This window comes from Homo sapiens, chromosome 15 (assembly GCF_000001405.40).
Source record: "Homo sapiens chromosome 15, GRCh38.p14 Primary Assembly".
Taxonomy (NCBI): domain Eukaryota; kingdom Metazoa; phylum Chordata; class Mammalia; order Primates; family Hominidae; genus Homo; species Homo sapiens.
This window is the reverse complement of record NC_000015.10, coordinates 83,631,746-83,657,466: the sequence shown is the minus strand read 5'-3', so window position 1 is coordinate 83,657,466 and position 25,721 is coordinate 83,631,746. Positions and strand designations below refer to the sequence as shown.

The 25,721-nt window shown below is 43.8% G+C and overlaps 2 protein-coding genes across 14 annotated transcripts in view, besides 1 other annotated feature; both read right to left on the bottom strand.

Annotated features, from left to right (window-relative positions):
- The window catches only part of ADAMTSL3 (ADAMTS like 3), a 385,720-nt gene extending 382,376 nt beyond the window's left edge, over positions 1-3,344 (bottom strand). For 11 of the 12 annotated variants that reach the window (XM_011521823.3, XM_017022434.2, XM_011521822.3 and 8 more), the window contains exons 1-2: positions 3,191-3,344; positions 1,637-1,738 (exon numbers count right to left, since the gene is read on the bottom strand). In XM_011521823.3, coding sequence (XP_011520125.1) covers positions 1,637-1,705 — 69 coding nt within the window. In that variant the 5' untranslated portion in view covers positions 1,706-1,738; positions 3,191-3,344. Of the gene's footprint in view, positions 1-1,636; positions 1,739-2,412; positions 2,584-3,190 lie in introns of those variants that run through there. The other variant, XM_047432885.1, reaches the window with a different exon arrangement.
- Positions 4,706-4,875: an enhancer, noted in NCBI's record as "experimental_41546 CRE fragment used in MPRA reporter constructs". NCBI's record gives its function as "activates a minimal promoter by MPRAs in K562 erythroleukemia cells, with activity observed for both the introgressed and non-introgressed 15:84321429 variant alleles {active_cell/tissue: K562}" and the evidence as "EXISTENCE:reporter gene assay evidence [ECO:0000049][PMID:34662402]".
- Positions 23,647-25,721, bottom strand: part of SH3GL3 (SH3 domain containing GRB2 like 3, endophilin A3) — a 186,480-nt gene continuing 184,405 nt past the window's right edge. The window contains exon 11 of one of the 2 annotated variants that reach the window (XR_007064483.1): positions 23,647-24,073. The gene's annotated coding sequence lies outside the window, so the exon portion shown is untranslated. The remainder of the gene's footprint in view (positions 24,074-25,721) is intronic. The other variant, XR_007064484.1, reaches the window with a different exon arrangement.

Genomic DNA, 25,721 nt, shown 5'->3' with positions numbered 1-25,721 from the left:
GCTGGGATCCGAACAGTGAGTGGCGTGAATGATGAAGACTGCTGGTCTGAAATCTCCTTTTATGACCTTCTATGCACACTGCCTGGATACATGGAAACAGCACTGCCACAGGCACACAGATATGGAAAAATCCAAAAGAGGTCAGTGAGTGATTCAAGCTGGGCAAACACTGCCCTTGGCCAAAGGTCAACAGACTGCCTCAAAGCATATTTAAATTTTATAAGGTGAAAGAAGGCAAAATGAACACTGTGCCTTGAAGCCTCAGCCCCATTTGACCAGGAACAAATCTCTGAAGCTCTCAAAGCCTGTTTCAGATCCGCTGATGAGACAGAAACGTAAGTCTCCACGCTTTTACCTCAACAGTCATCTCGCTGGCCAGAGAACCCTAACATCATCCTGAAAAGACTTAACTTTTGTTCTAACAAAAGAGCTCTATTAATATGATTATGGGATAGTATCGATAAAATGGGATAGTGGGGAGAAGATGTACCTTGCTGACCAGTTCTTTGTGCATCACAGAATTCACAGGGCATTGGAGCCAAAAGAGGCTTTAGAGGCACTAAGTCCAAGAAAGTGAAACAAGAGGCAGAGGAGTCTGATTAATTTATCCCAGGGTATATATCTTCATTCATGGATGCATGTTTATTTAACAGACATTTAAGCCCTTAAGTGACAAGTCCCTTCCGAGACCCTGAGGGTACACAGGCCACCAAGCCATGTATTTGAGAAGCTATGTCTGCAGGGAGGGATTGCCTTGTTCTAATTCATAAGACACTGTATGGAGCTAGCAGCAGCCCTTGGGACACAATACTAAGATGTGCCCTGCCTTTAGATCTGGGGCTGCAAACTGCTTGGCTGAATCCAGGCTGCAAACACATTTATCTGCCTTTCAATACTTTAAAAACTGGGAAATTTTGTAAGAAGTCTAGATGATCCAGCTATCTTGAAAAATAAGATCTGGCAATCCTGGGCTTATGTCTCCACTTAGCAACGATCAGATGGAATTGAGTAGAGACTGCTCTTAATAGATGGAGCACGCGTTCTGCACTTTGCCACTGTCTCCGTTACTCTCTATTGTCTCTTAGGCAATGCTAGCCTCATTCCTTTGTTTGAGTCTGTCCTTTAGGCAAATAAAGATGCAATTCATGAGCCGGGTCCTCTCAAGTTGGTTGGAAAAGACAGCAGAAGTCTAAAGAGAGGACTGTGGGATAAAACAGTGGGATATGTGATGATAGATGTAAACTCAGAATATTTATTTAGCAGCTTAGCTAGGGCCAGAACCTGGCTCTGCCCATTGTTTCCTGGTCTCCAGCAACCCAGCCTCTGCTGGGCACATGCAGACAGCCATTCTAGTCTGAAATGACAGGGTCCATCACAGCCCCAGGTCATCACCGGTGTATGGTATCCACAGTGCTATTAAAGCCCTACTCAGGATTCAGAGAGGACCCAAGGGATCTGGATAATCCTTACAGCTAAGCCAACCAGAAATACCATTGGCTAGAGATAGGAAAGAAAGTCTGGTTCTCTGGTGTAGGATTAACACTAATCATGCCACATCTTAGGTGGTATACAATAATGCCTCTGAGTAAACAGAGGGATGTCCACCATTTCCCTTCCCCTCCCTATATGACCTTACCTGCGGGAGGGGAGAGTGCATGAAGACCATCCCTATCAGCACCCACCAGGGGCTCGTCCAGGAAGCCATGGGGTCTAGTCTCCTCCGGGTCTCAGTTGTAGCCTACAAACGAGGAAAGAGTTCATTACCAACCAGCTCTGGCCCCCATGGCAGTAAACCGTGACTTAAGCGACCCATTAGATGGAGGGACCCTGAAGCCCATATACTATTTTGGAAAGGTTTGTGTTGGCCCAGGTTGCCGCTGCCTACTGCAGGGTGCAGGCTAACTGGGCTCCCTTTAGAAGGTCCACAACAAAGTCAGGCGAGGGCTGGACCTGTCTCCAGTGGGCATCTCATACCTCCAGCTCTTCAGAAGCTGAGATATCCCTGCCCAAGCCTATCTGTCAGCAGCAGGGTGTCGCTATTGGCATTTGACTCAGGAAGCCAGCACAGAGCCAAGGTTTAGGCTAGCTTCTGCTGCTCGCGGCAAAAATGAGTCTAAGACAACAAAGCCGCCCAGAGAGGGAAAGGACCTGCCTAAGGTCACACAGCAAGATAGTGACATTTTAGGGCTGAAACGCAGATCTTCTGATAGTTCAAGGCTTTCCTCGCTAGATGACACCGTGCGCCCTCGAGGTCCGGGACCCACACCCAGAGAGACGCCTGAGAGCTAAGTTCAGGGAGGTTTGGAGGACACAGCCCCTGAGCCAGCCTAACACAATCTCCTAAAAGTAGGTGAGGGCCAGCCAGCAGAGGTCAGCTGAAACCAGGAGGGAAGCGGGGACTTTTTCCCTTACTTTTCCTGTCAATTTACAGGGAAATCAGTATGAGTCGAGACTGGAAAAGCCGAGGTCACACTCGACTCCCGCTTCGCCTCGCGGGCGCCTTGGCGGAGCTGGTGTCCGGGGGCGGGTCGGTGGCTTCTCTCCATCTGGAGAAGGCATTAAGGGCCTGGTCTAATGTGATCCGCAAATGTGCTGCTGTTTCCGACCTGAGGCGGCGACTCCTGGCTGAAGGGAGGCGGCCAGTGCGGGGCCCTGGGACTCTGCGCCACCCTCGCCTGCTCGCACCAGCCTTCCGAGTGCACACTCCTCCGACTACCCGCTGCCTCGAAGTCGCTCCTCCAGTGCCTCCGCCGCGTCCCGGTCACCCCCACGCCCACTTTCCACGATCGCGCGTCGCCTCAACCCCCGGCGTTCTGGGCGCTCGCTACCCAGTGGTCAACCGGCCGGACCTTCGGACCCGCGAGGTTTCTGCTTAGTAACTCCCAATCCTGAAAAACTCCAACCCTGTGGAGTTCCCCCATAATCAAGAACGCCCCTCAGCCCGCGAACTGCCGCCGAAAGACTCTCCCTGAACCTTCCGGGACGGCACGAAGCGCGCCCGACCCGAGGTGCCCAGCAGTGAGGAGCACCCCAGTCCTGAGGCCCCCTGGGGCCCGCGTGGCACGCCCCGACTCTGCTTGGAGACCCCCAACTTGCTTAGAGAGGCCACTGCTCCAAGTCTTACTCCCTCTGGGGAGCGCCTTCCCCCGACCCCTGAGGGGCCGCCCTGCGCCGAGCTCGGTGCACCCACCTTGCGCCGCAGAAGTATCTGGGACGTGCAGCCCCGGGGCCGCGCGGGCTCGGCGCGCGCTGGGGAGAAGTTGGCAGAAGCCGCCCGTCAACACCTCGTGCGGAATCCGGCACCAGGACCTTCCCCGACGCCGGCCTCCAGCCCGCGGCGCCGCAGTCGCCGCCGCCGCCGCGAAGTTAAATGGGGCTGGGACGGGGGCTGCCCCGCCTCTCCCGCCCCCTCCGGGCGCGCAGAGCGCTGCGCTGGCCCCGGCCCAGAGGCGGAGGGCGCGCGCCGCCACCTGCACCGCCCGGCAAGTGCACGGCGCGCCCAGGCGCCCGTCAGCCTGCGCGCCGGCACCGCGCCCTCGGCTTGAGCTGGAGGCGCCGGGGGCGCGAAGAGACGCCGTGTGGGGCCAGGCCCGGGCCGCTCGGAGCGCGCGGGGCCGCGGCGACGGCGGGACTCGGCTGGAACGCTCCTCCGCCCGCTTCCTGGAAGCCACTCCTCGCCCTGGGCCGGCCGCCAGGCGTTGTGCCAAGAGCCGGGATTGCCGACGCCGCCACCGCCGCCGCCGGCAGGCGCACTGGGGAAAGGCGGCCGCTGCGCCGCAAGCCAGCCTGGCCGCCCCGCCTCAGCCGGAGCCGGAGCAGGGATGCCGTCGCTCCCCCCGAGCCCACCCCCGGCCCCACCTCCCATAGCCTCCACCCACCCCGCCCAGACCCGGGCGCCAGCTCTGCAAAGTCAGGCCCAGCAGCCACACAGAGGTTTGCCCGGAACCGCTGGCTCGTGCCTAAGAGCCATAGGCACTCCTGGCCAGGCAGGACCATAGTGGAGACCAATGGCCCTCTCCTGGCCTGCGCCTCCTCCGCGCAGCATAGACGCCACACAAGGGACTGTGGAGCGCTCACTGCCCAGAGGCCTGGGACCTTTGGCAGCCAGGGACCACGAGGATCTTGCAGGAGCGCCTCTTAACTGGGTACCTGGCGCCTCCTTGTCTGAGCCGGGCTTGGGGAACTGAGAGCTCCACAGGTGCCAGAATCATGCCGTGTCCAGGCCTGGGATTTGGGGTTGGGGGGAAGAGTGTCGCGGACAAGAGACTGGGGTGAGTTGCCTGTGTACTTCTGGAGGTGAGGAGAAGTAAAAGGAAATGTTTGTCCCTGTCCTTGTCCTAGTCCCAGCAGGATAAGCCAAGGGCCAGGAGATTGATCTTAAAGGCTGCATTATGCCCCCACCTAAGTCCTACCACAGTCGCCATTTCCTTGGGTGTCTGTCGAGTACCAAGCTCTTTGTGTCTATCTGATCTTCACAGCAGCAGTAGTTCGAGCATTATCCCATTTCACCTAGGATAAATCTGAGGCTGGGAGGATAACTTGCCCACCATGAGTGGAGAAGCCAGGACTGGAACCCCTATCTGCCTCTCTCTAGAGCCTGGACTGTTCACCCCTAAAGTTGTTCTCCTGCCTTCTCTGTGGTTGCTGCGTTCCGGTTACTGCTAGAGCTTTGCCAAGAGCAATTGGCCCTGCCTGCTTTCCTCACTCATTCTTCCCTTACTTACTCTGGTGACTTCCTCTGACCAAGAAGAGGATCTTCAAGGCTGTCTCTCCACTCTATGTAAAATGATTGGACTTGTGGCAAGTGAGCAGAGGACAGGTCAGTGTGGAGACAGGAGAGGTAAGAGTAGCCAGTGAAGGGTAGGGAGGGCTGGGCTAAACTAGAACTAACTCATCTATGGACAATCGATCCTTTTTATTTACTGTAGTTGTGGTCTATAAAGTCACAGAACAACGAATTTGTGAATATGGAGCCATTGTTCCTAGGGGAAATATAGAGTTGGGTTCCTGCAAGCTCACAATATTTTTGTCAATCAATCAACACATTGCCTTATTTTATGCATGTTTCTGTTTAAAGACGCCTTACTTAACATCTATTGTTGATTCCTGAACACTGAGCTCACAGCCTACAGTGCTGTAACTCATGCCTGAATGAAGCTTATCTAACTTACGTATTTTCTCTGCAACACACATCCCAGCCTTCTTCCACTTAGGAACGCTAGACTTCACTTCAGCACTGTGCCTGGGGGGTGCTTTAAGCAGCAAAATCATCAAAAAAAAGACCAAAAAAATGTGAAAACATGGCAATGAAGAGAACTTTTGGGCCACTCATTTACAGTGTGAAAGCTGAAACAAGAAGACAGAGGGTTGACTGGTTGGACCTTAGCTTCCAACATGTGTCTCAAGAGACTCAAAACGTTCAGCACTGGTTCAATGACTTTGAAAGTGCTGCAGCTATTGATTATGAGGTGTTAAAATAAAAACTTTAGACAAATTTAACAGAGGTTAATTGAGCAAAGAACAATTTGAAAATAGGGCAGCCCCCCTCAGCCCCAAAACAAAATAGATTCAGAGCAACTCTGGGGCTTCCACATAGTCAGATAATATTTATGGATAGAAAACGGAATATGATGAACAGAAAACGGAAATGAGGTACAGAAACAGCTGGATTGGTTACAGCTCGGCATTTGCCTTATTTAAACATGGTTTAAACAGTTGACCGCCTGTGATTGGCCAAAACTCTGTGACTGCTTCAAGAGTAGGTTACAGTCTGTTTACACATCATCAGGTTACAGTTTACTATGTACAGAGAGACCTTTAGGCCGAACTTAAAATATGTAAGAAGGCAACTTTAGGCTAAACTTAATTTAACGGAGGTGACAAATAAATTTTACCCAGTAGCTGAATTCACAATAAGGAATCTGCAAATAATGAGAATTGATTTTTCGTGCTTCTCATATCAGAGTATCAGTAAAGGAATAGCCACATTAACATTCAAAACACTTAGGATGTGGCAGGCACTGTTCCAGATACTTTGCTTATACCGAGTCATCCCATCATCACAACAGCCTATGGGGTAGATATTATTTTTATTCCCATTTTGCAAATGAGGAAACTGAAGTGGAAAGGTTTAAATACCTCATGTTCTTAGCAACTAGACGATACCACTCCTCATCGTTCATATTCTAAAACTAGCCCCACCATATCATGGAGTCAAATGCAAAAAAGTCACATGAATATGCAAGATGAAATGGAGAATTCAAAGAAATATTATGCTTGTGCAGTGGTGGCTGCATTAAGCAGAGCTCCCGGTGTCTGCAACTCAAGAAGTCACTGAGAATGCCTCTGGAGTTGGGGGACTTTGCTGGGAACATTTGAGATGCACTGCTCTGTTTTAAGGTATTAATGGCTCAGCAGGACTTCCTGTCTCATCTCCCTTGGGCAATCTGACTCCTGAGCCAGCCTCCAAGGAGTGCCCCACACCAAGTACTAAGACCAGGACTGAGCCTTTCTCTCCCACAGGTTCCATCTAGCAGGAGGCCAGCCCCCTCAAAGAGCAGGTGTTCCAGTAGCGAAAAGTAGTAGAGAAAACATCACCAATACCTTTATAGAACTTTTGCCTTCCAGTTAACCCTAGCAGGTCAAGCAAACCTGTGTGAGTGGCCAAGGTACTGTAAGTTAGGACAACAAAGAGCTGCAGAGGACAGCCTCCACTGGGGGTGCTGGCTGGACTTCACAGATGTTATGCGCAGAATCATGGCCTCACCACCCCTCAGTCACCTCTTCCCTCACCCCTTCCCTCAGTCACTCACCCACACTTCCCTCCCATCCTTACTTCCTCACCTGAGGCTTGGCCCAAATGTTTAAATAAGACATTGCCAAAGGCATGGTGTGGTGGGAGATCAGGAATTGGGAAGAACAGGAATGAATAAACCCCAAAGCAGCTAATCTGGCTGATTTGGCTGTTGAGTGTAGCCACCTACCCAATCACTATCTGGGGAGGTTCAGGCCCCTCCCTGCCTACTTCCTGGACTTCCTCCCTGTGAGAACACCCACCACCTGGGGACAATGGCAATGCATTTAGACTCTGAAGGGTCGAGGAAACTGAGTTCCATTTCCTCCCTAAGATCCAACTTCTTGGCTTCCTGGCTTTCACTACCTGTCTCAGGACCTGCTTCTTCCTAGATGAATTTCAGAGATTCCTGCCCGCGCTCCCAGCTTTGCCTGCTCCCAGCTTTGCCTGTTGACCTCAACCCAACAAGCACACAGTACAACATTCACGTGAGAGATACACATTGAAGATCAGGAAAGGAACTATTGATGATGGTGGTGTTGGGGTGTGTTTAGGTTTTACCCTTAGAGACAAGGAATATCAATTCAGGCATCAGCCTTAATTTGTTCTTGAAACAGAAATGCTCTTTCTGGTTACAGAGTTGTGAAGTGGGCTTGGGAAGCACACTCAAGAACGCTGTGTTGGAGGCTTGGAGAAAAAGAGTACTTGGAGGCAAGTACTCCAATAGAAGTTACCATTGACTGCAGCAGACACCAAAGATACACTCTCAGCCAAGGCCACTAAGAGATAACACATCTGGGGCCAGGTGCGGTGGCTCATGTCTGTAATCCCAACACTTTGGGAGGCCGAGGCGGGCAGATCATTTGAAGTCAGGAGTTCGAACCCAGCCTGGCCAACATGGTGAAACCCCATCTTTGCTAAAAAATACAAAAATTAGCCAGACATGGTGGCGTGCACATGTAGTCCCAGCTACACGGGTGGCTGAAGCAGGAGAATCACTTGAACTGGGAGGCAGAGGTTGCAGTGAGCTGAGATCACACCACTGCACTGCAGCCTGGGCAACAGAACGAGACTCTATCTCAAAAAAAAAAAAAAGAACACATCTGGATGTTAGGTGAACATAGTGCCTTAGGGGCACAAAATTAGCTAGCGAGTGTTCTTCAGGAAAAACCTATGAAGGAGTGAGGGAAGCAGGATAGGTAAGGCGCAAGACTAGAGCAAGCTGTGACTGAGGTCAAGCCTAACCTTCATGTGATCCTCGGGGATCCTGGAACAGAAACCACACCATAGATTTGCCGTGACTTGAAGCACCAGGACCAACTGCTGACCCGGGTGCCAGTAAGTCACTGCCTCCACTGGAGCTGGGTGGTGGTATATGGTGGTATAACCTCCAAGGTGGCTCCCTGTGGCCAAGGACAATGCTCCAGGAATGTATCAGCTGTAAGCCTTTAGCTGCTGCACCAAATATATGCTGGGGATAGGTGTGCCTGCTGGTAAAGAAATCGGACAGGGCATCCTCTCCAACGGCATCTACCATGCCTGGTTTTCAGGACGTATCCCTAGTCCCACACAGGAAATATGCTCAGCTAGCACTGATGGTTTTCTGACCAGAGTGGGTCCTTCTTTTGAATAGAAATTTGCTTTATAAAATTTGTTCAAGTCTTTATCCAGTTGCTCATAAGCAAGAACAGCCCTTGGGAGGGAAGTGTAGTGACAGGAAGTGTTTCTGCTGAGTGAGGGGCTCTGTGTGCTTTGGCAGAGCCTCACTTTTGGGTTTTCCCCTCAGCCTGCACTTAGATCCCCAGGTCTTCATGAGTCTTAGAGGTGCCAGGTCTGCGATTTCAAGTCAGGAGCTTAGGAATTAGTACTGCTGCAGCACTGGAGGTCTGAGCCTATCAGAATCTCTGTCAGGAGGGCGAAGGTGGTGTTGGACGATCTCTTTCTAGAAAGTCCCCAGTCTTTAGGGTGGGGCAGGGGGAGCTAGAGTCCCCTAAAGTTCTGTGAAGGATAGCGTTGGGAATTGTTGAGCCTTCCCAGGACCAGCAAACTCTCCAGACCCCAAATCCGAGGACAATTCCCCTCTGGCCTTCAGGGCTAGGAAGGTGCTGATAAGCATGCGTGTGTACACCTGCCCATCTCTAGGTAGATTCCACTGTGGAACATGAGCAGAGCACAAATACTCTGGGGAGAATAGGTTGGCTAGTGCCTTGGGACTCATCTCACTCTGCCCTTCACAAGAACCTTATCTTCCCCTTAGAGGTGCAAGGCAAGTGTAGAGAGTACTGGAACTATAGTCGGGAAATCCAGTTCCAGTGTGGGCGTGGCCACAGATTGAGGGCTTCTAGGCAGGCCATTTTGCCTCTCTGAGCATCGACTTTCTCCTTTATATTGTGAAACTGTAAAAATTAGAAAGTTTCGGCCAGGCGTGGTGGCTCACACCTATAATTCCAGCACTTTGGGAGGCCGAGGTGGGCAGATCACGAGGTCAGGAGTTCGAGACCAGCCCGACCAACATGGTAAAACCCCATCTCTACTAAAAATACAAAAATTAGCCGGGTGTGGTGGCACGTGCCTGTAAACCCAGCTACTCAGGAGGCTGAGGCAGGAGAATGAATCGCTTGAACCCGGGAAGTGGAGATTGCAGTGAGCCAAGATCGTGCCACTGCACTCCAGCCTGGGCGAGAGAGAGACTCCATCCCAAAAAAAAAAAAAAAAAACAGTTCCTTCTGGTGTAATTTGTGAGGTTGTCTTTATACTTTGCTTGTGTATTACAGCAATACCTTGCAAACCTAGAACTCAACCCTGGGGGCCTCTCCTAGTTTCACTACAACCAGATTAGTAATAGAAAACACCTCTCAGCATCCAACCAACATCACAGATTTGAGCATATTGTATATTAGCAGACACTTAGGTCTCACTGAAGACTACTGATTCTTACTTTGCACACAGTTTTAACAAGTTTGTTCATCTGATTTTCAAGAGTAAATCAGAAGCTATAAATTAGAAAGGGACAGAATGCCTGCTAAGAGGCATACTGACAGGATAAAGGTGCTACAGAAAAACATAAAAGGCACCCAAAAAGTCAAAAATCACCATTGTTTGGTGCAGCTTAGTTCACCTCAGAGGAGCCTGAGAAGAAGGCACAGTACTGTGTTCATGCTCACGAAACCAGGTTATGAACCCATTTGTCCATTAGATTCTGTTTATGAATGTGTGAAAGTACGTGTTACGTTTTAGAAAAATATTCACATGCAAAAGACTTAAATTGAAGAAAAGGAAAACAAAAGCCAAGCTATACATATTCCTGTAAATATTCACCTTGGTTTACCAAAAAACTCACATCTAGAGCATCATCTCTGACAACTCTAGATCACCAGGATTTTATTCCAGAATTAATTTGAGCAAAAGAGCAGAGTGTAAAGTAAGAAATCTTATTCCTCCAAAGACAGCATCCGTTATTGTTTAAAAATGTGATATCGGTTTTCTGACAAATCGTCAAGAAGAGTCGCACACGAAAGCATTTTCTCTGGTGCCGCCTTGCGTGTCATTCCCTGTACACCGCAAAATGAGACTCGCCTGTTTAGTCTGCTTTCCTATGTGTTCCTTACGCTCTCCGCTTGGCAATATTTGGGTTGGAAGCACCACAAAGGAATACTTGAAAAGTATTTTTTCAAATATAAGTTCAATAAAAACATTTCTCTGTATTAAGTTTTGCAAAACACATTAACTTTGGGAGGGTTTTGATAGCCAATTAAAAATTTCTATCCCTTCTTTTCCCAGACTCGGGCAAAAATGTTCTATGGATGAGTGAAGAACCAATTTTCTTCAGACCCCACCATTTGCATCTGGTCAGCTTTAGACCTAAAGAACAATTCAATTCAACACAGTATAATGCCGTATATATTTATTGACAATCTACCTTGTGTCAGACATGTGCAAAGTCTTGGGAATACAATGACATGACAAGAGATAGCACCTGCCCTGCAGAAGCGGATGAGATACAGTGTGATAAATGTTCTCAGAGGTTTAAGGGCAGGAAGCTATAAATGCACTGGGTAAAACAGCAACTAATTCAGTTGTGAGGGTATTAGACATTTCTTAGGAAAATATTTCAATTGAGAACTAAAGTTTAAGTACAAGCACAGGATTTTATCATTATAAATTGTATTCTCCTTCTGTGATTTTTCTCCAGTCAAAACAATCTACAATCCCAAATACATGTTTTAAAATAATATAAATGGGCCAGACTCGGTGGCTCACGCCTGTAATTCCAAAACTTTGGGAGGTCAAAGCTGGAGGATCACTTGAGCTCAGGAGTTCAAGACCAGCCTGGGGAACACGGCAAAACCCTGTCTTTACAAAAAAAAAAAAAAAATTAGCTGGGTGTGGTGGTGCACACCTGTAGTCCCAACTACTTGGGAGGCAGAGGCAGGAGAATTGCTTGAGCCTGGGAGACGGAGGTTACAGTGAGCCAAGATTGCACCATTGCACTCCAGCCTGGGTGACGGGAGTAAAATCCTGTCTCAAAAAAAATAAATAAAACAAAATAAATGGCTGGGAGGTGGGGTATGTCTAGGAAAGAATGAATTTGTTCTAGAACAAATCCTATCTGCTCACTTTCATATTGTTCCCATATATGGGTTTCTGTGCACACACCTTCAGCCTAATAAGGAATTGAGGGAATATTGTAGGGTATCTGTGGTAAACAGATTCTAGCAGGGCCCCAATGACTGTCACCTCCTGGTATTCATACCGTTGTGTTTAGTGTGGCAGAGGCAAAGCAAAGTGTTCACCAAATGCTTTAGGAAGGTTACAATTCCCAGTCTTCTTGCAGTTAGGCAGAGCCATTGAGTCATTCTAGCCAATAAAATAAAAATGGAAGTGATCCGTATCACTTTCTGGTTGACGCAGTGAAAAGCTCACTGTGCATTCTCCGGGCTCTCTCTTCCCCTTGGGCAGTTAACACAGAGGGTGTGTGTTGGCATGCAGAGCCACAAGATGAAAGGATCCTGGCTCCCTGAACCACCCCATGAAGGACAGCTACCATGGGCAGTCAGCGAACCTATGCCAGCTTTCACATGCATAAGACATTAACTTTATCTGTTAAGCATCTGAAATTTTATTTGTTACTGCAGCATAAACCTAGTCTATACTAATGCATTTGAATCACAAAGTGAAAATGGAATTGGCAAGAGGTAAGTAGACAGGCCAGACACGATGGCTCATGCCTGTAATCCCAGCACTTTGGAAGGCCAAGGCAGGCAGATCACTTGAGTCCAGGAGTTCGAGACCAGCCTGGGCAACATGGTGAAACCCCGTCTCTACAAAAATACAAAAATACAAAAATTGGCCAGGCGTGGCAGTATGCACCTATAGTCCCAGCTACTTGGGAGGCTGAGACATGAGAATCACTTGAGCTGGGGAGGCAGAGCCAAGATCACACCACTACACCCCAGGCTGGGCGACAGAGCGAGACTCTGTCTCAAAAAAAAAAAAAAAAAAAAAAAAAGGTAAGTAGACAGAGGTAGGCAGGGGCCAAGTATTGAAGGCCACATATACCATGCTATCGGGTTTCAAGCTTTAAGAGCAAAGGGTTGCTTAGGATAATATTTGGCAGAGCAATGACATAATAAGACTGGCCCTTCAGAATGATTACTCTGGCTGTGTTTCTAGTAATATAAGCAAGAGCTCATGATAGCCTAACCTGGCATGAGTGACAGTGGGAATACAAGAAAATAGATGGATTTGAGAGTTGCTAGAAAGGTAGAATTGATAAGATGTGGTGAATGATTTAAAGAGTAGGGCACTAGGACAAGTTAAGGCTGACTTCTTGATTTCTGACATGTGAAATGGGCAGCTCGGTGTCATTCACTGATATAGGGTACCTAGGAGGAGGCATCTGTTAGGTAGGAGGGGGCACACAGAGATGATGGCTTCACTTGGGGCATTTTGAATTGGAAATGCCTTTAGATCTAGAACCAGGAAGATGCCTGGGCTGGAGATGTATATTGATGACTCATCAACACATATGGTTGATGCATGAAACCATGGAAGTTCATGGTGTAGATAAAAATAGCTAGCTACCTTCATCTGTCATCTAGTCATATGTCTACCAGGAAAGGAATTTCTAAATGTTACATAATATGCAAGTAATATGTGTATAATTCCCCCTAAACAGTGACAATATCAACATTTATTTCTCTTTCTCAGAAACCAAAATCAAGATGCAATCATTGTGAGCCACTTTTGATTTCAGCCTGGGTTTTCACCATTTGCTCATATGGCTCAGTGGCTCTGGCTTGAAGGAAGTTTTCCCAGCTCTGTTCTTTTGCTCTTCCATTGTGAACTTCAATTTTAAAGATACATCCAGAAGTCCCTGATTCCTCCAAGGCAAATTTGATATTTAATCTGAGCCTGGGTCTCTGGTTAACCATCAAAGCAAGAGTGGGACTTACTCGGCATTTCCCATGAAATTGGTAAATGCTATTTCATCAAATGTGTTCCAGAGCAGTGTATTTTTATTGTTGTCTTTAAAGACTAAGAAAGAAATCAAAAGACTTTATGAAAAAAGTATCCCCAAATTCATATATGGGGCCAGGAAAATTGAGAACAAACTATCCAGTGTTGTGCAAAGCCTAAATAAGGAAAATGGAAAAGAAATTTTAAAAAACTGATACTGACATGAAATTTCAGGTCACGTGGAGACTTCTGATCCCAGAGGATGATTTGAGCATTAACATTTTACTCAAACCAGCCATTCCGCACTGAAATTATCAAATAGATAAGATAAAAAAATTCCATATGAATGCTGGAAACTGGGGAAGATGATCATCCCTAGAACTGCAACTCAGGGAGGACTGATGAGATACAGCCCTGGTCATTGCTCTGGCAGCAGTGGCTCTCATGATGACAGAAGAGAGCTGTGCACTGTGAGTGTCCTTCTTCGACTCTACCAGGAAGGTAGGGAGAGCACTCTGGAAATAAATAGTGTAACAAGTATTGAAATAGAGAGAGTAACTAATACAGGTCTGCAATATTGCTTTTTCCTTCTGCCTTTAAAGATAGAGTGATTCTTTAGTTGTTCAGTCAGCCATGATTCTTCTCTTGGGATTAGAGTGAATCAGATTAATTTCTTACTTAAAAAATGTATGAAATCACCTAAAGAAGAAAGGATCTAGGAGACCAGAAAAAAAGAGAAACAGCCAGGCAGATGAAAGCAGTTTGTAGAGTTTGAGAGATCAGAAGATCAGAGGAATAGTTGCTGTGATAACTGGGATTTTGCAGAGAAGAATGTGAAAAGACAGCTTTAAGAAGACTTGAGAGAGTGATGTTAGCAAGATGGGAAAATAGGAGGTTCCAGCTCTCATCCCCCAACAGAATACAGGGTTTGGCAACTGCCCACAGATGAGAATAACTTTGGGGGAGCCCCAGAGCCTAGCTGAGGTCCCAGCACCCTGGTGGAGCAAATAGTCTGTGCATAAACACATTTAAAAGGATAAAAACAGTTTCACTTTATCTGCATCACCGCTCCCCCAAAGTGGCACAGCTTGATGCCAAGAGAGGCCCCCTTGGCCCATGACTTCTTCCATAGGGGAAAGGGAGAATGAAGTCAGTGCTCGGCTTCCCCGTCCTTGCAAAATGCTGCCTAGGAGGCCCACTTCTATCTGCCCCACCTAGAACACTAAGGGGATCAGCATGACTGAATTGTCTGTGGACAGCTAGAAGCCAGGAGAAGGGGAGGAAGTGCAGAACAACTGGCACACAGTTTTCAACAGCCAGTCATGGATCTTGTGAACTAACACATAAATTCTACCAAGCAGCCCTCCCAAGACTGCTCCAGGACGACTCACTCGAGGACTCCCCTGAACCAGCCAACACACTTCCTGAGCACCTCATGCAGCTCCCCATGGGATGGTACCGTATGCATCCCTGTGTACAGCCTGCATGAGTTCTCACAGACAGCACAAGGATCTCAACAGAAGGTGTGGATTTTTAGCAATCATCTCAACTTCACTGGCTTGGGTGAACCGCCACAATCTTGATATTTCAGGACACTGCCCTAGGGAAAATAAACAGGAGAATTTCAATACAAAATGTAGCTCTGCAGGATGAAGAGAAGATACACAATCCTAAGGCTTGTCCTCTAAGAGGGCACAAGAGGAGCAGTGTGGGTACATCCATAAAAAAAAACAGATAAGAGACACCCAAGATCTTTAGCCAGGCTCACTGGTGAAGTAAAGACTGGAAGACATGACTGCTTCTTCAAATGCAAAGATAGCAATGCAAAGCTTCAATGAATATGAAGAATCAAGGAAATATGATACCACCAAAGGAACAAAATAAAGCTTCAGTGGCTGACCCCAGAGAAATGTAGATCTATGAATTGCCTGACAAAAATTGAAAATAATCATCTTAAGCCCAGTGATCTACAAAAGTACACAGAGAAACAACTAAATGAAATCAGGAAAACAGTACATGAACAAAATGAGAGGTTCAATAATAAGATGGGAATCATAAAAAAAGAACCAAACATAAATTCTGGAGCTAAGGAATAAAATTTGTGAAAATTTCAATAGAAAGCTTTAACAGTAGACTCAGTCAAGCAGAAGAAAGAATCAGCAGACTCTAGGACAGATCATTTAAAATTATCCAGTTCAAGGAACAAAAAGAAAGACTTAAGAAAACTGACAGAATTTATGGGACATTATCAAATGAATCAATATATGCATTACAGGAATTCTAGAAGGATCAGGGCAGAAGAAAGGAGTGGAAAGCTTATTGAAAGAAAATGGGCTTGGCATGGTGGCTCACGCCTGTAATCCTAACACTTTGGGAGGCCGAGGTGGGTGGATTGCCTGAGCTCAGGAGTTTGAGACCAGCCTGGGCAACACAATGAAACCCTGTCTCTACTAAAATACAAAAAATTAGCTGGGCATGGTGGTGTACACCTGTTATCCCAGCTACTCAGGAGGCTGAGGCGGGAGAATTGCTTGAACCCAGGAGGTAGAGATTCCAGTGAGTCGAGATCGCGCCACTGCACTCCAGCCTGGGCGACAGAGTAAGACTCCATCTTCCCCAACGAAAGAAAAAAAAAGATGACAGAATGTCCCCCAAATCTGGAGAGGAAAATGAATATCCATATCTATGAGGCCCAAAGAACTCCAAATAATTGAGCATCAAGAAGTCTTCACTGAGACACATTATGATCAGATTGTCAAAAGTCAAAGACAAACTGAGAATTTTGAAAGCAGCAAGAGAAGAGTGACATCACATAGAATAGAACCGCCCCCCACCCCATTAAGATGATAAGCAGATTCTCAGCAGGTCGGGACAGTGGGATGATATTTTCAAATTGCTGAAAGAAAAAACTGCAAACCAATAATACTATACCTGGCAAAATTGTCCTTCAAAAATGAAGAAGAGATAGACCTTCTTAGACAAGCAAAGGCTGAGAGACTTTATCACAAATAGATCTGCTTTATAAGAAGTGTTAAAAAGAGCTCTTCAAGTTGAGACAAAAGGACACTAATCAGCACTGTGAAAACATATAAAGGTATAAAATTCACGGATAAGTTTAATGTCAAATTCAGAATATTCTAATATTGTAATGGTGGTGCATAAATCACTTTTAACTCTAATATAAGGTTAAAAGACAAAAATATTAAAATATGCAGTGATTTGTTAATGGTTACACAATGTAAAAAGCTGTAAATTGTGACCCTAATAACATAAAATTTGGGGGAATAAAAGTGTAAGGATTTTGTATGCAATCAAAATTAAGTTTTCAACTAAAATAGGCCATTACAACTATAAAATGTTTTATGCAAACCTCATGGTAATCACAAAGAAAAAAACTAAAAGCTGGTTTTTTGAAAAGATAAACAAAATTGACAAACTTTAACTAAGTTAAGAAAGAGACGACCCAAACAAAATTATACGTGAAGGAGACATTACTATTGAAATTATAGAAATACAAAGGATCATAAGAGACTATGATGAACACTTATATGACAGCAAATTGGATAACCTAAAAGAAATAGATAAATTCCTAGAAATATACACCTACCAAGAATGAACCATGAAGAAAGAGAAAATATAAACAGACCAGTAATGAGTAAGTAGGTTTAATCAGTAATCAAAAATTTCCAAAAAAAAACAAAAGCCCAAGACCAGATTGTTTCAATGTTACCAATCATTTTTAAAGAATTAATTCCCATTCTTCTCAAACTCTTCTAAAATATTAAAAATGAAGGAACACATCCAAACTCATTCAATGAGGCCAGCATTACCTTGCTACCAAGGCCAGCCAAGGACACTGCAAGAAAAGGAGAGCATGGGCCAATATTCCTAATTAATACTGATGCAAAAATCCTCAACAAAATCCCAGCAAACTGAATTCAACTGCCCATTGAAAGAATCATACACCATGATCAAGTGGAATGGTTCAACATACGCAAATCAATCAATGTGATATATAGTAGACTGCTGCAATTGCCCTGGCCAAGGGACCAAGCCCAGCAGTCTTGGCAGTTTGTGGATGGCTGACCCACCGCTCCTTTCCTTCTCACCTCCCTGAAGCCACCTGAGCTGCCACCTAGAGCCACAAGACTGTTGCTGCTGCAGTGGCTCCATCTGGATATCCAGCCCAAAAGCCTTGGCAGTCTCTGGGTGCTTGACCCACCACTCCTCTCCATCATCCCTCCCTCAAACCACCTGAGCTGCTCCTGCCATGATACCCCTAGCCCAGGGTCTCACCCTAGTGGCCTTTGCATTCTCTACTAGCTGCTGCCTCCATGGGTGATTTGGCCCTGGGACACAGCACAGCTACTACATGTGTGCCTGCAAACAGCTCCCAGGCACCCCCAGCACAGGACCCTATCCCACTGCCATGTGTACCCTAGGCTAACCACTGCAGCCAGGTTACTACATGCTGTCAGCCCTGGCTCCACAGCTGTACATGCATAAGCAGTTGGCCCTGCCCCCTGGCTCTTTCCCCCATTACTATGTTTGCACCCACAGCTGGCCCTTGCAGCTGTACGTGCACATACATATCCAGTGTGCCTCCCAGATGCACCCTTCTACACACATACAGACAGCCTCTAACCCCCTTCACCAGCGTGCACTTGGCCCCTGCACTTATGCATGTGCAATCTGCCAGCCCACCCTGCCATCTGTGCACTCATAGTTGGTCCCAGGCCCTTCCTCTTACCCCAGTTCTTGCCACCATGCATGAGATGAGCCTGCAACTGGCCTCAGCTGTCATAGATGTGCCTGCAGCCAGCTATCATAGCATAGCGTGTGCACACCACTGGCCCTGGCCCCTGGCCACTGGACCCAGAGGTGCAGCTGAGGACCCTAACAGCCCTCACAGCCTCAACATAATGAAGGATAAAAATCATATGATCATCTCAGTAGATGCAGAAAAATTTTAACAAAATTCAGTATTCTTTAATGCTAAAGACTCTCAATAAATTAGGTATAGAAAGAATGTGCCACATCATATATGGTAATAAAAATCATACATGATAAGCCCAAAGCTAACATACTCAACAGTGAAAAGCTGAAAACTTTTCCTCTAAGATCAGGAAGAAGACAAGAATGCCCACTCTCACCACTTGTATTTAACATCGTACTGGTAGTCCCAGCCAGAGCAATTAGGCAAGAAAAAGAAATAAAAGACATTTAAATTGGAAAATAAGAAGTAAAATTGTCTTTGTTTGCCGATGACATAATTTTATACATAGACTACACACACTGTTAGAACTAATAAATGAATTCAGTAGAGAAATATAAAATCAACATACAAAAATCAGTTGCATAATATACACTACCGATGATCTATCAAAAAAAAGAAATTACGAAAACAATTCCATTTGCAATAGTATCAAAATGAATAAAATATTTAGGCATAGATTTAACTAAGGAGGTGAAATATCTCTACACTGAAAACTATAAAACATTGATGAAAGAAATTAAAGTCAACACAAATAAATGGAAAGATAACCCATATTCACAGACTAGAAAAATCAATATTGTTAAAATGTCTGTATTATCCAAAGTGATCTACAAATTCAATGCAACCTCTATCAAAATTCCAGTAGAATTTTTCATAGAAATATAAAAAGACTCCTAAAATTCATATGGAACCACAAAAGACCCCAAATAGCCAAAAAATCTTGAGTAAGAAGAACAAAGCTGAAACAAAATAGAGAATTCAGAATTAAACCCACACATATATGGCCAACTAATTTCTGACAAGGGCACCAAGAATACATAATGGGAAAAGGATAGTCTCTTTAACAAATGGTGCTGAGAAAACTGTACATCTACAAGCAAAAGAATGAAATTGGACCCTAACCTTACACTATACATAAAAATCAACTCAAAATAGATTAAAGAATTAAATGTAAGATCTAAAACTGTGAAAGAAAACATAGGAAAAAGTTCCTTGACATTGGTCTTGGCAAGAATTTTTTGGCTATGACACCAAAAGTACAGGTAACAAAAGCAAAATAAACAAGCGAGATTACATCAAACTAAAAAACATTTGCACAGAAAAAAAATGAAAAACATACGATTTGGGAAAAAATACTTGCAAACCATATATTGGATAAGGGGTTAACACCTAAAATATATAAGGAACTCATACAACTTAAAAGCAGAAAAATAATCTGATTTTTAAGTGGGCAAAGGACTTGAATAGACATTTTTCCAAAGAAGATATGCAAATGGCCAAAAGGTACAAGAAAAGGTGCTCAACAACACTAATCATCAGGAATGCAAATCAAAATCACAATGTGATATCACCTCACACCTGTTAGGATGGCTATGCAGTGACAGTGCAATTAAAAATAATGATCATGCCACAGCTCTCTTAAAAAAAATCAGAAAACAAAAAAAAAAAGACAAGAGATAACAAAAGTTGACAAGGATGTGAAGAAAAAGGAACTCTTTTACACTCTTATTGGGAACGTAAATTAGTACAGCCACTATGGAAAACAGTATGGAAGTTCCCTCCGAAATTAAAAATAAAACTCATATGATTCAGCAATTCCATTTCATATCCATTCAAAGGATATGAAATCTGAATGTCAAAGAGACACCTGCACTCCCAGGCTCATCACATTATGCACAATAGCCAAGATATGGAAACAACCTAAATGTCCATCAACAGATGAATGGATAAGGACACTATGGCATATGGCATATAGTGGAATAGTATTCAGCCATAAAAAGAAGGAAATCTATGGGTGGATTATGTTAACTTAATGTTCACTTAACATTATGTTAAGTGAAATAAGCCAGACACCAAAAGACAAATACTATATGATCTCACTTATATGTAGAATCTAAAATAGTCAAATTCATAAAAGCAGAGAGTAGAATGGTAATTGGCAGGGGCTTGTGGAAGGGAGAACTAGAGAGGTGATGGTTAAAGGCTGCGAACTTTCAGTTATGCAAGATGAGTAAGTTCTGGAGATCGACTCTGTAGCGTAGTGCCTATAGTTAACAATATTGTGTTGCACACTTAAAATTGCTAAAAGAATAGATCTTGTATTGTGTTCTTACCAAAGCAACAATGCTACTAATAATAAAGGGAATGGGAGGAAAAAATACGTAATGAAACAGAAAGAGTAAGTAATTATATCTAAATATATTTTAAAAATCAGTATGTGTTAAAGGTAACATTTTAATTCAGTGAAAAAAAGTGTAAATTATTGGCTAGATATTTAGTGAGAAATGTTACATATCAACTTCCTTCATTTCTATAAAATAAATTCCAAATGAGTTAAGGATTAGTGTGCAAAAAGAAAAAAAGTGAAGTAGAAAGCTCAGTGATTTTATAATATTAGAGTTGAGAATAATGCTAGAAAATAGGAAGGAAATGAATGATCAATTTGATTATATGCATTTTTAAAATATTGGTATAACAGTCAAACAACACACACACGTATGCACACACACACACACACAAAGGCAACTGGCAAACTGGAGAATATATTTTAAATTCACATAATAGATAAGGGATCAAAGATAGTAATACATAACTCATTAATCAGAGGTAAATGCTAATAGAAAATTAGGCAACGAATATAGTAAGAACTAAAAATTGCCAATAACTATATGAAAAGATCAATGTCACTAGTAAGCAAAGAAATGCAAATTAAACAATAGGGGTATATCCTTTTACCTGTCAGATGGACAAATTTCAATAATTATTTTTACCCAGAATTAATAAGACTAGAAGCAAATGAATATCCACACATTGATATAAGAAATACAAACTGACGTAACCATCAGGAAGTTCAAGCATAATATGGAAGAGGTTAATTAATATACACATTTAAATATATCTAAGTTCAATATGTTTGTCATTTTGACCCATTTTTTTTCTATTTCTAGAAATGTATCATAAGGAAATAATTGAAGTTATATGTATAGATGATTGTTACTGGTTTGTCTATAATGTAAGAAAACTGGAAATGTGTAACAGTAGGAGGTTAGTTGGATAAGTTATGATATAGACATACAATAAAATACCATGTAGCCAATAAACCATAAGACTTAGGTCTACAGTTATTAATATAGAAAGATAAAATTATGATATGGAAGTCTCATTTGTATGAATGAATATATATATAAATACATAAAATATAATTATGCAAGGACAAAACTGGAAGAATATAATGAAAATGTTGATAATAGTAATTATTTTGAGGTTGTGGGATTAAAAGTGATTTTCACTTTCTTCTTATGATTTTACATGCATTCTGAATTTTTCTACAATATGCCTGTATTACTTTTATAATTAGAAAAATAAAGCTATTTTAATTTAAAAAATTGTTTTGACATCTAAAAAGTCATGGATATATTTTGGCTGGGTGTAGTGGCTCATGCCTATAATCCCTGCACTTTGGGAGGCTAAGGCGGGTGGGTCACCTGAGGTCAGGAGTTCTAGACCAGCCTGGCCAACATGATGAAACCCCATCTCTACTAAAAGAACAAAAAATTAGCTGAGCATGGTGGTGCACACCAGTAATCCCAGCTACTCGGGAGTCTGAGGCAGGAGAATCGCTTGAACCCAGGAGGCGGAGTTTGCAGTGAGCCGAGATCGCGCCACTGCACTCCATCCAGCCTGGGCAACAAGAGCAAAACTCTGTCTCAAAAAAAAAAAAGTCATGGATGTATTTTACAGAAAAGATAAAATTTGCATGACTCTTTCTAGAGACTGAAAAAAAAAGATTATTTGATTAAAGTTGTACAACAAACTTTTGGATGTAAAACTGTGAGAGACTTAAGGCAGGAGCACACAGTGCAGTTTTCTTTCTGATAGTTTGTTGGAAGTCAATGGGTGCCAACCCAGTGCCAGGAACCAGGCTAAAGATGCTGCCTGTGACCTTTTCCCTGGGTATCTTGTGGACGGTTCAGCATCTACTCATGCTAGATGAAGCCCTAGACCAATATCTACAGCTGTAGACCCAGATTATTGACCAGGTCTTGGAGCAAAAGTTGACTGCCCTGACTCTGGAGAGTATCGCTACTAAAGGTTACAGGCCTGCCTGTTTTCAGAGTTCCAATTGTTCTGCAATTGTCCTGGTGACAGAATAACTCGTACCAGGATATTTTTTCTTTTAGTCGGAGTCTTAACCATTTCTATAAATTCTGCTTTCTCCTGTTGCAGGCAATCCTGGTGGCAGAGCTTGTGGCTTTACAACGTGAATAATGTCATCATTTGACCTCTCAAGAGGGCTCTGGTCTCATCTAATCATGTTTGGTTGCCTTTGGTTTCCTGGAGTTTCTAAAATTTTATCAACCCAAATCTGTCTATCTCTCTATCTTTGCCATTGCCCTTGCATTTCCCTTGGGGCTGCTCTGATCTATCTATCTATCATCTATCTATCTATCTATCTATCTATCTATCTATCTATCTATCATCTATCTATCTATCTATCTATCATCTATCTATCATCTATCATCTATTCTTTGTTCTAAACTATAGGCATGTAGCTAGGCATGAGCTATGTATCTGTTTCTTATTCTGAACTACAGGCTAGCCCTATCTTCTCTCAGTTCACAGATAAATACATATTTGTGTTTCCAATTTATTTCTCCAAATTTAGCCTAGTGGAGTCACCTACAGAAAGACAGAAGTAAAATTTACAAAAGTGAAAATTCTAGGACTGCCAACAGCCTCCATTATTCAGTCAGTAGAGACAGTCTGGCTTTCTCTTTCTGAATTTTATCTAAAGTGTGGCAGATACTGCAAGGGGCCCCCCAAAATCTGTTATTCCTTTCTTCTAAAGAAATAGAGTTTGAGCTGGTTACCTGTTTTCCCAGTAAAACTAGATTTCTCAGACTCACTTGCATTTAGGTGTAGTGATGTAACTAAGTTCTTGCCAATGAACTGTGAGTAGAAATGATGATTCTGTTTCCAGATATGATGCATAATTCATTGAATGTACATAAACTTGCTCCTCTTCTCCCTAGCTGAAATGTTGATATGACAGCAACCCAACTTTGACCATGCAGATGATGATAACAACTTAGAGAATAGTAAGAAGAAAGGAACCTGAGAGCCTGAATGACTACATGAAGCAGTTTAGCTCTCATATCTGGATTGCCTGTATCAGGAGAGAAAAATGAAGTTCTGTATCTTTTAGTAGGAATATTATTGAATCTTTTTTTTACAGCAACTTAACTTTCACCCTCGTTAATACATACAGGGCATAGGTTTCTCTCAGTCCCACATCTAGCCCAGATCTGCCTGTCTTCCCTCTAGTTTGAGTCATCCTGTAATGGAAACACAGGTTCAGTTGCTCAGCATTTGCAGAGTCCAATTAACAAGAGTAAGATCTAGTATAAAGAAAGTAACTTTTATTCCAAAGCTAGGTTAGGGGGAGAAATACAGGCTTCCAGATTTAAGGGAAACACCTTGCTTCTAAGGCACAAAGCAGGGGCTTTTAAAGGAGGGACTTGGCATGAATGGCATACAGAGGAAACGGCAAGCAGGTGGGGGGCCCATGACTTGCTTTGGTGCCACTGGGTGGTTGAACTGGCGCCTTTGCAGTCAGAACTAGGTTATAAAAGTGACCCTTGTCTTCAGATATTCTCCAGGTGGGAGAGAGTTTCATAGCGGGCATACCATGGGTTGTAAGTTAACTCTTGTCTCTAGAGGCAATCTTCTGGTGGAAGAGGTTTCTACTCTGGAGCTTCTAAGCACATCGTTAGATAGCTTGCCCTGTAGGGAGTGTTTGAAGAAGGGAAGGTAAAGGGTCATAACTGCATTTATAAAGAGTTAAGTAGGAAGTGGGGAAAAGGAGGAAAGAGAAAAGAAGAAAAATAATAATTTTTAAAACATTAATTCTCTTTCTCTTAGAAAAATGGGGATACTGGGTTACAATCGCTTAGCATCCTAATCCTACTAATTTCTTACTATGTTCTCTCATAGCCCAGAGTGATATTTGCATTTTCTGTAATACCAAATCACCTTAAAACCTGCCAATAATGCCTTGAGTATTTTGCATCGGTTTTCCTATCCTCCTTTTCATATCCATTTACATTGTGTCATTTTACATTGCCAGCAGTGTACGAAAATTTCAGTTACTCCATTTCCTATCCAATACTTGGTATGGTAAATCTTTTCCATTTTTGCCATTTTGGTAGGTGTGAGGGTTAACTTATGATTTTAATTTGCATTTTTCTGATGCTGATTAATGATGTTGCACACTTTTTCATGTGCTTAGTGAACATTTATATCTTCTTTTGTGGCGTGTCTCTCCAAATCTTTTGACCATTTTAAATTGCTTATTATGAGAATTCTGTATAAATTTGGTACAGAAGTCTATTGTCACTGATATGGTTTGTCTGTGTCCCCACACAAATCTCATCTTGAATTGTAGTTCCCATAATCCGTACATGTCATGGGACCCAGTGGGAGGTAATTGAATCATGGGGGTGCTTACCCTCATGCTTTTCTTATGACAGTGAGTTCACACAAGATCTGATGGTTTTATAAGGGGATTTCCCCGACCTTCACTCATACTTCTCCTTCCTGCCACCATTTGAAGGACATGTTTGCTTCCCCTTCCACCATGATTGTGAGTTTCCTGAGGCTTTGCCAGTCCTGTGGAAATGTGAGTCAACTAAACCTCTTTCCTTTATAAATTATCCAGTCTCTGGCAGTTCTTTATAGCAGTGTGAGAATAGACTAATACATTAAATTGGTACTGCAGAGAGTGGGGTGCTTCTGCACACCCCTACAGGGCAAGCTATCTAATGATGTGCTTAGAAGCTCCAGAGCAGAAACCTCTTCCACCAGGAGATTACCTCTAGAGACAACAGCCAACTTACAATACCAAAAAATGTGGAAGCAATTTTGGAACTGGGTAACAGGCAGGGGTTGGAACAGTTTGGAGGGCTCAGAAGATGACAGGAAAATGTGGGAAAGTTTGGAACTTCCTAGAGACTTGCTGAATGGCTTTGACCAAAATGCTGATAGTGATATGGACAATGAAGTCCAGGCTGAGGTGGTCTTGGAGATGAGAAACTTTTTGGGCACTGAAATAAAGGTGATTCTTGCTATGCTTTAGCAAAGAGACTGGTGGCATTTTACCCCTGCCCTAGAGATCTGTGGAACTTTGAACTTGAGAGAGATGATTTAGTGTATCTAGTGGAAGAAATTTCTAAGTGGCAAAGCGTTCAAGAGGAAGCAGAGCATAAAAGTTTGGAAACTTTGCAGCCTGACAATACAATAGAAAAGAAAAATCCATTTTATGGGGAGAAATTCAAGCCACCTTCAGAAATTTGTATAAGCAATAAGGAGCCGAATGTTAATCACCAAGACAATGGGGAAAATGTCCCCAGGGCATGTCAGAGACCTTCATGGCAGCCCCTCCCATCACAGGCCCATCACAGGCCCAGAGGCCCA